Source organism: Homo sapiens, chromosome 2 (assembly GCF_000001405.40).
Source record: "Homo sapiens chromosome 2, GRCh38.p14 Primary Assembly".
Lineage (NCBI taxonomy): Eukaryota > Metazoa > Chordata > Mammalia > Primates > Hominidae > Homo > Homo sapiens.
The window spans coordinates 165,791,913-165,805,743 of NC_000002.12; the positions used below are offsets into that span (position 1 = coordinate 165,791,913).

The 13,831-nt window shown below is 39.5% G+C and overlaps 2 protein-coding genes across 5 annotated transcripts in view, besides 5 other annotated features; one reads left to right on the plus strand and one right to left on the minus strand.

Annotated features, from left to right (window-relative positions):
- GALNT3 (polypeptide N-acetylgalactosaminyltransferase 3) overlaps window positions 1-2,780 on the minus strand; it is a 47,105-nt gene extending 44,325 nt beyond the window's left edge. For 2 of the 4 annotated variants that reach the window (NM_004482.4, XM_047443883.1), the window contains exon 1: window positions 2,103-2,335. The gene's annotated coding sequence lies outside the window, so the exon portion shown is untranslated. Of the gene's footprint in view, window positions 1-2,102; window positions 2,336-2,412 lie in introns of those variants that run through there. The other 2 variants (XM_011510929.2, XM_017003770.2) reach the window with 2 other exon arrangements.
- Window positions 1,085-1,991: an enhancer, noted in NCBI's record as "H3K27ac-H3K4me1 hESC enhancer chr2:166649507-166650413 (GRCh37/hg19 assembly coordinates)". NCBI's record gives its function as "activates a minimal SCP1, AML or CMV promoter by ChIP-STARR-seq in naive H9 embryonic stem cells {active_cell/tissue: H9 hESC(naive)}" and the evidence as "EXISTENCE:reporter gene assay evidence [ECO:0000049][PMID:30033119]".
- LOC124906086 (uncharacterized) lies at window positions 1,674-11,844 on the plus strand. The gene is made up of 6 exons (XM_047446887.1): window positions 1,674-1,880; window positions 2,007-2,425; window positions 2,888-3,167; window positions 8,599-8,695; window positions 9,269-9,311; window positions 9,467-11,844. Exons 1-6 carry the CDS (start codon window positions 1,674-1,676, stop codon window positions 9,648-9,650), a joined length of 1,230 nt encoding a protein of 409 aa, XP_047302843.1. The 3' UTR covers window positions 9,651-11,844.
- Window positions 1,968-2,057: a silencer, noted in NCBI's record as "silent region_12067". NCBI's record gives its function as "represses an Ori minimal core promoter by ATAC-STARR-seq in GM12878 lymphoblastoid cells {active_cell/tissue: GM12878}" and the evidence as "EXISTENCE:reporter gene assay evidence [ECO:0000049][PMID:35858748]".
- Window positions 1,968-2,897: a biological region, named in NCBI's record as "H3K27ac-H3K4me1 hESC enhancer GRCh37_chr2:166650414-166651319".
- Window positions 1,992-2,897: an enhancer, noted in NCBI's record as "H3K27ac-H3K4me1 hESC enhancer chr2:166650414-166651319 (GRCh37/hg19 assembly coordinates)". NCBI's record gives its function as "activates a minimal SCP1, AML or CMV promoter by ChIP-STARR-seq in primed H9 embryonic stem cells {active_cell/tissue: H9 hESC(primed)}" and the evidence as "EXISTENCE:reporter gene assay evidence [ECO:0000049][PMID:30033119]".
- Window positions 2,128-2,277: a silencer, noted in NCBI's record as "silent region_12068". NCBI's record gives its function as "represses an Ori minimal core promoter by ATAC-STARR-seq in GM12878 lymphoblastoid cells {active_cell/tissue: GM12878}" and the evidence as "EXISTENCE:reporter gene assay evidence [ECO:0000049][PMID:35858748]".
- Window positions 11,845-13,831: the final 1,987 nt, after the last annotated feature.

Here is a 13,831-nt window from a genome sequence, read left to right on the forward strand (position 1 = left end):
TGAAGAAAGAGCAATGGACAATTCTGTAATTACAAAGGCCTTACAAATTATATGAAAGAAAAAAGATAAACATCTTATGGTAAGTGAGGATGTGGGTGGTGAAAAGTAAGATACAGGAGTCATGAGTCAAGCCACTGGAATGATCATGCCATCTCTGAGTGAAATGAAGTTAGAATACCTCTCTTGGCTTCAATTTTTCATAAATGGATGGTTTGAGTATTGAATCTCCAAAGTGAGAAAGGGATCTCGAGAATGCTAGGGCTGGAAGATACTCCTGATTGTTTTTAAGGTTTTGTTATCTTAATCTAGGAAAGTATTATTTTTCCTATTTAACAGATAGATTAAGTTACACTGTTACTCTAGCTAATGAAAACATGTTACATTTCTCACTAGAGGTTAAGAGGAAAGACAGTCTGGTAACATCTGCCTAGTAAGTAATGAAGACTAATATTCAAAATTCAGGGAACAACTCCTATATCTCATATTTAAACAGTATTTAGCACATTTGTTTCTCTGTATGGAGACAAGATTAAGAGGTCAGGTGAGATCCTTTTAAGAAATGTAGAAAAGTGGTGATTGAATTAATAATTACATCATGTTATGCTGTGGTTGGCTTTTAGATTTCCATCTAATCTTAAAAAGAAGAAGAAAAATAACCCCACTACATGTTGCATCAGGCATTTTAAGTAAAACGTGCAATTTAAAAAATATTTTTAAAATGTGTGGAGATAGAACAAAACAATGGAATTGTTATTATTATCAGAAACTTCTACGTAAAAATGTTGGTTAAAGCAATATATAAAGATTGATTCTCGGTACAAATTGCTTGGAAAGTTTAACATGTGCACTAGATTTCAGATATTAAAAGTTAAATTAAAAAAAAGAATCTAATGGCAGCGTGTGACTTTAACCTCATGGATTTTAGCCACAAACGCAAAGAAAAATATATACAATAAAAGAAGCAACAGATTTTCCCACAAGCAGAGATTTTCTAATTAAAATGCTGTCACTTTAATATTTTTTAGCTATAGAATTTGACTGTAAATGTCTTCATTATGTAGTGTAACTTCTATAGCAAGTTATGTTAACGTTTTCAAGAATCGGAAATATTGGTAACTCGATGGGGTTCTTAAAACAGAAATAGTTTCTTTGATGAGTTGGAAAGAGAAGGAAATAAAAGTCTAAGGTAAGCGCCAGTTTCACCCTCAATTCTTAGGCTTCAGAAAAGCCTAATTAGGCAGGGAAAGGAATCTGGGCCTGGCACACCCAAGCTTAGACGTGGCAGGATCCTGAAACAATGTTTTTTTGAACCTTTGAGTCATATGCCACAGGCAAACCATAGCCGCGATATGCAGGTCCTTAAGTCAACAGGTCCTCTAACGAGATGGTGAGTGGTTGGTGCGTGGCAGTTGGATTTCTTCCCGCCACGGAAGAAAAGAACTCTTCTCCATTGATCAGGAAAGTGGGCCCAACTCTGGCCTGGAGAGCGCACCCGGAAAAGTGCAGAGTCGAAACAGAGAGAGAGGGGTGTCCGCGTCCCGGCCACAGAGCCCTTTCCAAACCACTCGGAAACCATTTAAATGGCTCGGCGGCCGCGGTTTGCAGCCTAGAACTGTTTGGGGTCCCCGGCTAGGAAAGTTGCCTGGCAAAGCCATGTCTTTCGCTGTCGCGGGATGTCCTCTCGGGCAGAGAGGCTGGAGGAGACAGGCAACCTGCTAGCCGGAGTGGAAGCGCGCCCGCCTCCCGCCGGGCCCTCCCTCTCAGGGTCCCCACGCTGCGACCCTCCCAAGGGCAAGTCCGGGGCCACCAGGTCTTTGGTCTCCGTCCAGCTCCTCAGGGGCCGCCCCATAGGGACTGGCGGGGGCACCGTGGGCGAGAGGGTGTGACCGGGCTCCCCCCCGAGGCGCCACCTGCCCCTTGGCCCAGGGCGCCCCTTTCGGGATCTCTCCAGGGGCAACCGACACACTGCTCTCGAGACCGTCTCCAACCGGCCACCTGGACCGTAGCCCTGTCCCCAACACGTGAACCCCTGCGGCCGTCCTCCCGCCTGCTCTAACGCAGCCCAGGGGTACCGCGTCTCCCTCCGCCTGCCGCCGGCTTACCTGGCGGGTGGGCAGGGCAGGGTGGCGGGAAGCGGCGGCCGGGCAGGCGCTGGACGTGGGCTAGGCGCCAGGTGCAGGTGGCGGCGGCTGCGACTCCGGTTGCTGTCGCCACAGTTGCGGCTCAGTAGAGCTCCTCCTCCGCCGCCGCCTCCTGCCTTCCCGCTGGGCCTCCCGCGTTGCCTGGAGAGGCAGAACCGAGGCTCGGCTTCCACTTGGAGTCTCCCAGGTGAGCTCCAGCCTGCGACGTCGGCAGGGGCGAGGCCCCACTTCCGCGCCTGCGCGCCAGCCTCCCGCCCCGCCCCAGCCCTACCTGAGCGCTCCAGGTGAGAACCTTGGATCGCGCGCGCAGGGTGGGGGCGCCGTCCGGGCCAAGCCTGGCTGTCGCGCGGCTTCTCTCTGAGTGGTCGGCGAGGCTGCTGCTCCGCGCAAGTTGTGGCTCCCGGCCCATCTACATTGGAGGAATCCTGCACTGACCTGGTGGCAGTGATCACCTTGTAGCCAGAACACAGTCTGCTGGGTCCTTGGGGAACCAGAAGTTCTAGATTTCCCCCACACGGTTCCTCCCTTCCTCCTCGGTTCGCCAAAATGAAGGGGTGCGCTGCCTCCGAGGACCACTTCGGGAGGGCAGCAACTGCTGGCTCATGTGGTTTCTTCGGGCAGGGTTCAGCAGCTTCTGTCACCAGTTAGGTTTCGTGAGCTTCCTTCCCGTGTAGTCTTGATTTCATCACTTGACTCACTTCAGCGCAGCTAGTGGTTTCCGTTTCTGTACGCGGGCGCTCTGGTAGGGGCGCCTCACGTCCAAAGGAGGAGTCTTCTTCCAAAGAAGAGCCTTTGGTATTTGGCAGAGCCTCGCCAATTTGGGGCGCACCTCCCCTTCCTGGGATGCTCTCAGAAGGCAAACCAATTCCCAGAAGAGAGGGAAAAACAGCCACAACAGAGAGAACCTTTGCTGTCCCTGTTTGGAAAGAGATTGGGATTTCCTGGAGAGGGCTTGCTTCTACTGCAGGTTTGTTTAAAAGCTCAACATCTATTCTGGAAGAGAACAACGCAGACTCCAGGAAGATGGTGGGTTTTGCTGTTTTTAAGACAAAAAAAAATTGTTAAACAGTATTTGTTCCATTTATGACACAACTTTCTGTTTCAGCCTTCCTTCTGCTGCTGCAACAAACATTGACACACCCAAAACCAGGACTTAAAATGGCCTTTATACCTTTCTATGAACTCATTTCTTTGGCCCTATCCCAAAGATATCTAGGGATATAAATAGAAAACTAGCTAAAAACTTTTTGGTGTCGTGTTTAATCACATGGTGGTAGGTTTTACTATGAAGTTTAGTTGTGGCCTTCCTCCTACATTTTGACATGCTCTTATGGTGCTTATTCACTGTTTTATTAGTGCTATGCGTGACCTAAAAATAAGGTTTAAAATACAGTTTAGTATAGTATCAACAAGTGTATCTTTAGTATTTGACTACTCTAAGACATTGGTTTTAGCATCCATAGTGCTATTTTATACTAGGACATCTATGAGTTAGGGTTTAAGACTTTAGTAAACTAGGTAGTTCTTTGCTTGTTTTACATGTCATGGTTATTTTGCGAGCACCAAGGAACCTCCATGTATTTGCAACATTTTAATATCAGTACCTACAAGCAATTGCCAAGCTCCCTTTCCCTCCAAAAACAAACAAACAAAAAAATAGTTCAGGAGATACTTGTGTGTATTGATATACTAACTTGGCAGTGTTTTTCCTTAGGTCCAGGTCCAGAACTGAAAATACTAACTACTGAAATTCTCTTCTCCTTCTCCTTCTTCTTCGTTGTGCCACTTTGTCGTTTACCCCTAACCAGAGGTTAATGTTAGTCTTTGGAAAATTTGTAAGGTATCCTAAATGTATAACCAAGAAACCTGTACCCTTTTGCACGCACCACCCATCTCTGAATGAAGAGCCAAAGATTGTCAGAGTTTTGATGTCCCACCAGGCGAAGAGCAACACTTTTCACTGACAATCAGGACAGAGCAGATGGATATAGAATAACAATCTGGAATCCAAGGACTGAGATGCATTGACAGCAAGACTAGTAACGTCAAATAACAACTGAAAAGAGAAGCTAGGGTAGACCTATTAAAAGAGAGAGCCAGCAAACAGGACCAAAATGCTGGATGAGGAGTCTAAAAAGAACAGAAGAAACAAAAAAGATCAGGAGTTACTAAAATTTGACTGTCAGTTTTACAATGGAGACAGACAATTTAAAGAAGGAAGCAGTTTTTCTGAGTGTGGCATTACTTGTGCACGTTGAGTGTCATATATATAGAGAGAGAGAAAGAGAGAGAGTGAGAGAGAGTGAGAGAGAGAGAGAGAGAGATATCTTGGGGATGAGACCTGTCTAAACACAAAATTCATTTATGTTTCATATACACCTTATACACATAGCCTTAAGGTAATTTTATAAAACATTGTAAATAATTTTATGCATGAAACAAAGTTTGTGTAAAGTACTTATGTGTGGAATTTTCAACTTGTGGTGTCATGTTGGTGCTCAAAAAGTTTTGAATTTTGGAACATTTCAGATTTTGGATCTGTGGATTAGGGATGCTCCACCTGTACTATTTTACACAACGTTGCTTGTACTATTTCAAAGCATTCTGAAAGCAAAGTCTTAATATTAATAAAAAATTTTCTATGTGACAATAAAATTAAAATGCTGCAGGCCCAAGAAAAAAATATTATCATATTGAAATATTTAATGCCCCAAATCTAATCAGATGCAGGTTTTTGAAAGTACCATCCTATTCAAAATTATGAAATAAAGAATTTGTTTCATAAAGAGAAATTAGCATTTCATCATAAATAAAATCCAGGAACCTTAGTGTAGACATGCTTCAGAAATAAGCTAATTTTAATAGTATATGTTTGACATATAATGACAGTTAAGATAGAAAACTGGGCAGATTTTACACAGGAAGGAAACAAACATTCTCTCTCTCTCTCTCTCACACACACACACGTACTTATTACACACACACACACACACACACACACACACACACGACTAGCCACAAAATGCTCATTTGCATGGATTTGAAACAATACTCACTCCTTAATACTTTCTGTTAACATTTAAATTAATGCCAAGACCAGCACCTGGCACTTAGTAGGTACTTAATAAATATGTGTTAAATGAATAAATTGACCCATCAAGTACCATAAAAAAAATGCCTAGTGTCTTGAGCAATTTACAGGTCTAAAGAATGGTTTTACCCAACAGTAATGACAAATAATCCAAGGCAGATAAGAACACTAGACTGGTAATCTGAATTGCAAAGTTCTAAGAACAATAGCTACCAGCTTTCACATACCTACATTTCAAAAGACACTACGCAAAACAACTTACACTCCTACAAATTACTTTACATCTGGCTTAAATATTCTCTTCCACAAAACAAAATAGTGGTACAAGATGATCTACAGGCTTCTTTACATTCTGATTCATATAAACTCTATGCCAAGAGAATTGGGCAAATAAATAAATAAATAAATGAAACCTTCTGGATATAGCAATAATAATTAATGGGACAGCAAAGATGAAGAAACTGAAATTATTTAGCTGAGATCGAAATTTTAATTCATAAAAAATAGTTGTAATATATAATGTAACAAGTAAATGTGTAAAGTTACTAAGCCTAACTTTAAACTATTTTAGTTTGTTAATTGTTTAATTGTTGGTTACACAACTTTGCTTTGAAACATACTCTAGAAACAGTTTTGCCTCATGAGGGAACTAGAGCTTTTAGTGAGGATCTCAAAGTCAGACTGAGAGATTTGGCTCAAAGACTGAACAGACTGGAATAATTTCTTCTCAAAGCAGTAAAAGTGTTGAAATGCTATTGATTCAAGCAGAGAATAGAGGTGGTATCACAGTGAAGAGCCACAAACACGTGGGTATTTTTTAAATAATGATCCAACATAATTCTACATTGTGTTTAAAATATAGCAAGTTAAAACAGGGAAAATATAAATAGGTTATTTTAGTATGAACTTTTTTGGACATTGTTTTATATGATTCTTCCCCCTGTAGAATCTCAGAACAATCATCTCAGATTTTCAAAGTGGTTCACATACTATGAGGGGTTGACTTAGATTACAACAAAACTATGTCTTGCTAATCTTGTATTCTTAGTACTTGGCACATAGTAGGCACTCAATAAATATTTGATGAAATGTATTGAATAGAGTGCATTGTTTCAAGCTTTTAAGCATTAGCATAAGAGCAAAAAGAAATGTCATGCTGAGTCAGAATAATATTCAATCTAACTGGCTCTAAATTCTGACAGTGGCACCAAAGAATATTTTGTGGAAAACTATGGTGATAGTCTTGCATGATGTTGACCTCAGTGATGTACTCGAGTATCCCTCACTCACTCTTTTCCTAAATTGATTTCTCTTTTTCTGTAACATGTTTCTTTAAATTGAAAAGAAATTAATATTCATTACAGAGAAATCAGAAAATACACATAACTGCAAAGAAACTAGCTTTGAAATACTCAGAATTCCTTATACCAAGATGAATCAGTGCTATCAGACCCTTTCTATCATGTATCTTTGCAGATTTTTTTTATTGAAAAAGTTGGCAGGAGGCACGGCATGGAATGGGGAACATAGAGGGATACAGAGACAGGTTTGTAAAATAAAAACTAGATCATTCTGGGGACTTGTTTTGTAGCCAGAGTTTTCTACTTGACATATAATTAAATGTCAATAAATTTATTTTACAGTATTATTTTAATGGCTGCCTGATATCCCTTTGTAAGGATTTAATCTGTCAATTACTGTTGGACAATGAAGATTGCTCCCAAATTTTGCTATTGCAACCAGTGCTATAATGATCATACTCTTCATCTGTTGAAACATTTATTACGATTTTCTTCTAATTGACTTTTATTTTGTTTTTGTTTTATATAGAGATGGGGGTTTCACTATGTTGCCTAGGCTGCAATTGAACTCCTGAACTCAAGCAATCCTCCTGTCTCGGCCTCCCAAAGTGCTGGGATTACACGCATGAGCCACCAGGCCAGGGATATTTTTGTCTTTTGAGACAGGGTCTTGTTCTGTTGTCCAGGCTGGATCACAGTGGTGCAATCATGGCTCACTGCAGCCTCAACCTCCCAGGCTCAAGTGATCCTTCCACCTCAGCCTCCTGAATATCTCGGACTACAGGCATGTTTCATCATGTCTGGCTTTTATTTTATTTTATTTTATTTTTTGGAGAGATGAGGTCTTACTATGTTGCCTAGGCTGTTCTCGAACTCCTAGACTCAAGCAATCCTCCTTCTTCAGCCTACTGTAGTGCTGGGCTTATAGGCAGGAACCACCATGCCCAGCCCTGACTTTTATTAAGCCACATTGTGTCAATTATCCAGATCCTAAACTATGACAATGTCATTAGAGGCATCATATCACAAAAACAAGAGGTAGAATACCTATTAACAATTTACAATTTTCTATTGGTAAGAAAAATAATAAGAATATTAATTCTAGCTACCAGACCTTCATACAAAGAACGTTCTATTCAATGAACACCTTATAATTTTAGAAATATGGAAATAGAATACGTCACTTATTTTAAAAAAAAACTCAGATCTCTTATTTTCCTCTGATCATACCACAGTCAGTTTCCCACCTGTGAAAGTCTTTGTATCTTCTAATATGATTTTCTTCCCCCTCTCCAAATCCCCTCCAGCCCAACTGAAGACCCTAGTCTCCCATGGAGTCTTGATATGGTTTGGCGGTGTCCCCACCCAAATCTCACCTTGAATTATAATAATCCCCACATGTCAAGGATTGGACCAGGTGGAGATAATTGAATCATGGTGGTGGTTTTCCTCATACTGCTCTTGTGGTAGTGAATACGTCTCATGAGATCTGATGGTTTTATAAATTGGAGTTCCCCTACACAAGTTCTTCTTACCTGCCACCATGTAAGACGTGACTTTGCTCCTCATTCGCCTTCTGCTATAATTGTGAGGCCTCCCCAGCCATGTGGAACTGTGAGTCAATTAAACCTTTTTCCTTTATAAGTTACCCAGTCTTGGGTATGTCTTTATTAGCAGCATAAGAACAAGACTAATACAAGCCTCCTGGATCAGTTCAAATCACCTTGATATTTCTTAATTCCAATGCATTGGCATAAAGTAAATTTCCTTCCTCCCTTGGCCCTCACCTCTCTCTTGACTCCAATAAGGGAGAGTTGTGGAGAGATGGTACCTGGGTTTGATATAATTTGTTGCCAGATAAGTTATAATAATTTGTTAAGGAATTCAAGCCGTAGAGGATGAGGATGCTCTTTTAGCATATTAGGTTTGAGGTAACAGGCCAAAAGGAATAGCATTTGGTTATTAAGGTAAAAAGAGAAATAATTTTTATGCATGTTAGAAGGGGAATTTTGAAGGAAATTACACTTTTTCTGTATATTTATATATTTTACTTTTTATTTACCAGGAGAAAAGGCATTTGCTGCCCAAGGTAGAATCCCATCACCATACTCCTTTCCTACATCCAATCACAAAATCAGAATATGCCAATTCTCTATTCCCAAGTAAGTCAACAGACCCTAAGATTACATTCCCTTTCTCCCCTCTGCAAAGCTTCAGGGACAGGAGTCCCTGACAGGCAGCTGACATTTGGGGTTGCATACAAAAAGTCAAGTCATTGCAAGAGAAGGAAGTTTGTTTCTATTGGAAGAGTTAGTGTACAACATATAAAAACGGAGTGAGGATGGGGATATTGTAGTAGGGAGGGGGTTAAAGGGCTTAGAAAATGATTTTTTTAAAGGTGGACAGGGGAAGAGTAGAAGGCAAAAAAATGTCATCCATGTGGGACATCTTCTGAACGCCCAAGGAGAATCTTTGGGGATACATTCCCCCCAAGATTTAAAGAAGTGGCTTCACTCCTGAGAATGTACAGGGAGCGGAGAAGCTAAACCAGGAGCAACATCCAATTTCTTTGTCTCTCCTTCTCTTCTCACTGCAAACTCTGTACAGGTTTGGCATAACTATCTAAACTTTCTAGTAAAAATCATAGCCTTCATGAAGATCCATTGTGTATTTGATTCACAGAAAGTTGGTATTGAATTGTAAAACACGGCTACAAATTTCTCCCTCTCCAACAGGCGTGTCATTTTGGAATGTGTCTTGCTGCTCTTCTCATCAAAGGTAAAGTCCTCTTCTTCACCTTTTAACCTAGAGTAGCTGTGCAACTTTCTTTGACCAATCAAATATGGTGGAAGTGATGTTGCGTGACTTCCAGATATAAGTCTTAAAGAGATTTTTCACTTTCTGCTTTCACTCTCTTGGAATGTTGCCCTGAGATCACCACACCATGAAGAAGTCTGGGGCGAAAGGCCATGTGGAGTGAGAGGCTCAGCTTCCCAGATGATCTCACTGAGCACAGCCCCCAGCCACCTGCCAGCTCAATGCAACCTGGTGATGGACCCAAGCAAATACCAGCAGAAGAATCACCTGGTCAACCCACAGAATCATGAGAAATACTAATTTGTTGTTGTCTTAAGCCAGTAAGTTTTGAGAGAGTGTTTTAACTGTTTCACCTAAGTTTGGTCTCTTAACATGAACATAAGCACTTTTTTGCATTTGTACATCCTTTGTACTCTTCCTGTTCATACCGAGAAAGCTTTTGCAATGCAAAAGCTCAAATGTATTGGAATTTTAGAAGTTTAAGCCTTGAAGGACTCTGTACAAAACCATGCCAAAAACCATATATTTTGAAGAATATGTTCTCAGTCTGAGCCAGTTTTCTATTTCCACCTCAAATCTTGATTGGTGCAGACTGGAGAAAGGAGAAGAGAGTCAGGGGTAAGACCGTGGGTCGGAGGTGGATATCGACAATGTACCTGAGTAAAAGCCCTGTAGCCTCTCACCATGTTGGAATACCATATGGCACAACTACATGGACCGCCATTTACATAGAGTAGGATGTTTAGTACTGCGTCTTGACCTTTGAAACCAGACTGGTGAGAGGACTCACCAACAAAAGTGAAGCTAGGGTCATAGGCCCTACCTTGGAGATTGGTAAGACCCCAGAGTTATTCCTTGCCCAATGTTAAGTAAGAACAGAAAACATTTCTAAAGAGGGTCCTGAGGCAGACAGGTCTTAAGCAGTCCCACAGCCCTCATGTGCCCTAGAAAGATGCAGAGCGCCCAGAAGCGGTTTTTCAGTGCAGGTGAGAATGGTTTAGATCCACATGTTTTTGTAAATTAGTTTTTATTGGAAGAGAGGCAAACCCATACATTTACCTGTTGTCTATGGCTGCTTTGACACTACAATAGCAGAGTTGGGTAGTTGTGACAGAGATCATATGGTACACAAAGCCTAAAACATTTACTATCTGGTCCTTTATTTTTAAAAAGTCCTTATATTAGATGAAACACAAAGAACTGGTAAAACTTAAGCCTTGTGTAATAATACAAAACAAAAATATACCATGTAGACCATAATCAAAGGGCCCATTGTCTTCAGCCGCTGACATTGGGACCAGGGTGTAGTGTCAGAACATGAAAGCCTGGATACCTACAATGGCCTAATTTTCTCATACAAATGCATCCTACCACTCCCATCCCATACCTTATGCTAGATAGGATCCATGGAATTAGCTGCATCTCCAGTGAAACAGGAAAAGTCCCTGATTTTACTGAGATTTAGCTATTGTCACATGGTGTAACAGGGATTTAAGAGAAAAAATAACCTCAGGTATAGACATAGGAAAATAATGTTAGATTAAGTTTCTTATACACCTGGTTCTGTCTTCAGAAACTGGCACCCACTATAAAGCCTTCCATAGTGATAATTATCGCACAAAATCGATACAAAGGAAATACCTGCTGAATGTTCTGCCTCAGTAGGTTTTCCTTTGGTCTTTTACCTTAGAAAACTGCATGATAGCATTTTTCTATTATTTTGACATTTCATGTAGGAAGCATGTTATTCACAACTTATGTTTTATAAAATCTTTTTCTGATGATGATGATGATGACACTTGTTAATTTCCATCTCCTTCCTTCACTGTAAGTTTTTCTATTCCCTGAGACAACTATTTCTCTCACTTGTCCTAAACCCCAAGGATACAAGAGATGCATAGGAAAATATCTATGAAGTGTGTGGGAGGAGACAACAGGGCAGGGTTCCAGAGGTCTGTGGTTTATTGCACGTAAAACACTGGAAAGTGCTTTGGATGATAAGGAAGTAGCTTGTTGTCCTTTGCAATGGCCTGACATTCTTACACTGAGAAAATCTTACTCCCCACTTTGAGCTGGGATGTGGGAGCTGGGAGGACATTTACTGAGTATTAACTCTGTGCCAGGAATTATTCCTACATTATCTCATTTAGTCTCCGGAAAACCCTACGTAACAGGTGAGAAGACCTCAGTGACAAGCTCAAAGATGCATAGCTAAAGAGCTGAAATGTAAAAGCAGGTCTGCCAGACTCAAAAACCCATGCTCTATAAACTACATCATAGAAGTTGTAAAATAATTTTACCTTGAATCCAAGGGTGAATAATTTGTCATGGTTAGCTTGCCCTTTGGCATTCATAAACAATTTCTACTGTCCCAGTTTTTGTTCCATTCATATAGGAGTAACATGTGGAAGTATTAAGCAATAGAAGGCTTTGTTTTCATGTATAAATTTTTACGATATTTTCAAATATAATAAAGCCAAAATTGTTAATTTCACTTCATGTAGAGATTCCTTCAAATATAAGATGCTATGAAACAGTGTCATACCAAAAAGCAAACACACTGATTTCTATAATCAAAACATTGAGGAACACAGGAAACTCTAGATAACTCAGAGGAAAAAGGGAGTACAAAATCGGGTTGACACAATGCTTCATTTAAGAATAGGAACATTGTTTGTTCATTTGGGTACTTTATAACTTTAAGTATAATGAGGTTTCTTTAAAAAATTGTAACAATTTTGGTATAATTGTATAATAACTTGGTATGTGGTATTTTTATTTCTATTTATTTATTTATTTATTTTGAGACAGAGTCTCACTCTGTTGCCCAGGCTGGAGTGCAGTGATGTGATCTTGGCTCACAGCAACCTCTGCCTTCTGGGTTCAAGCAATTCTCCTGCCTCCCAAGTGGCCTCCACGCCCAGCTAATTTTTGTATTTTTAGTACAGACAGTGTTTCTACTAAATGTTGCCCAGGCTAGTCTCGAACTCCTGGACTCAAGCAATCTGCTGGCCTCGGCCTCCCAAAGTGCTGGAATTACATGCATGAGCCTATCACACTCAGCCGTAGGTGTTATTTTTAAAACATATCCAAAATGATTTGGATCATTTTTAAAATGATCCTAAGTAATTCTTTATAATATTAATAGTATAATTTGGTCCATTAAATTATAACTAGAAAAAAATAAATAAAATTCTTCCAAATTGATATATTGATGTAAAAATAAGGGTCTCTCCTTTAAGTCTCTCCATAAACTTTAGTTGAGAGTGAAAGACTTTTGGACCAATGATTCTTAACTAAAGCAATTTCTTGACAGAAGCAAAAGTGTGAAATGAGAAGATACAATAAATTTAACATCAAAACAAGAACTGTAAGTTTTATCATTTAATTGTATTGAAATACATACAAACCACTAGATATGTGGAATTTCAGAGGCATTTAAAGAGTCATTCTAAAAGTATATGAAATTATTTCATGAAAAGGTCGATCAAAATAAGAAGAGGATCCTCATAAATAAAAATGTTTTATAATATCTCGATTATAAAAGTAATTTCACAGTAACTTTTCCTTTCTGCATCTTGTGAAACACAATAGACCTGAGACAGCCTGTCAGTTTGCTTTATGGAATTTGACTTTTTGCAGCCTCACAGACCACGATGAACTGGTATTACCAGTTTTGCCATCTTATCTTTTTATTTAAACAGCAATTAAACACTGCCATAATATCATATAAATCATTAAATAATGTTCCAGACCACACACAAGTGGATGAGTTATGAAAGACTGAAGGATTATATTACTTTTAAAATATTTTGCTTAGATAGAATAATGGCAATAAATATTAGCACCCTTTGTTTTATACTTTTACCAAATATTGAGTAGTTTCAAAGGAACACTTACTAAATACATGCAATACATAAGGAATCATAATACAATAAACAACTATGTACCTACTACTTACTTAAAGAAAAATAATATTTTTGTATCTGTCATGGAACCCTCTCAGATCCTGTCCCCTCCTAATTTTGAATTTTGTGTTCAATCATTTCCTTGTTTTTCTTTAGAGGTTTACTGCATATGCCTAAACAAAACACTGGTTAATTTCATGGTTTTTACAGCTTTGAACATTAATGAAGTGTATCGATATTATTTTGCTACTTGATTTTTTTGCCCAAAATTGGATACATGAGATTCGTACATGTTGTTGCATGTAGCTGTAATCAATTAACTTTCACACCGTATTATGTTAATCCATTCTGCTCTTGATGAACATTTGAAAAATCTCCAGGTGCATGTTTATGTGTGAGAGAGATTACAAATAGTGCTGCTAAGAACATTTTTATACTACCCTGGTTAAAGAGCATGTGAAAGATCTTCTCTTGGAAAAATAACTAACAGTGAAATTGCTGGGTAGTAGCAAATTTACCAGATAATGCCAATTATTTTCCGAAGTGCTTATATAACACACCCTTATGGTTTTA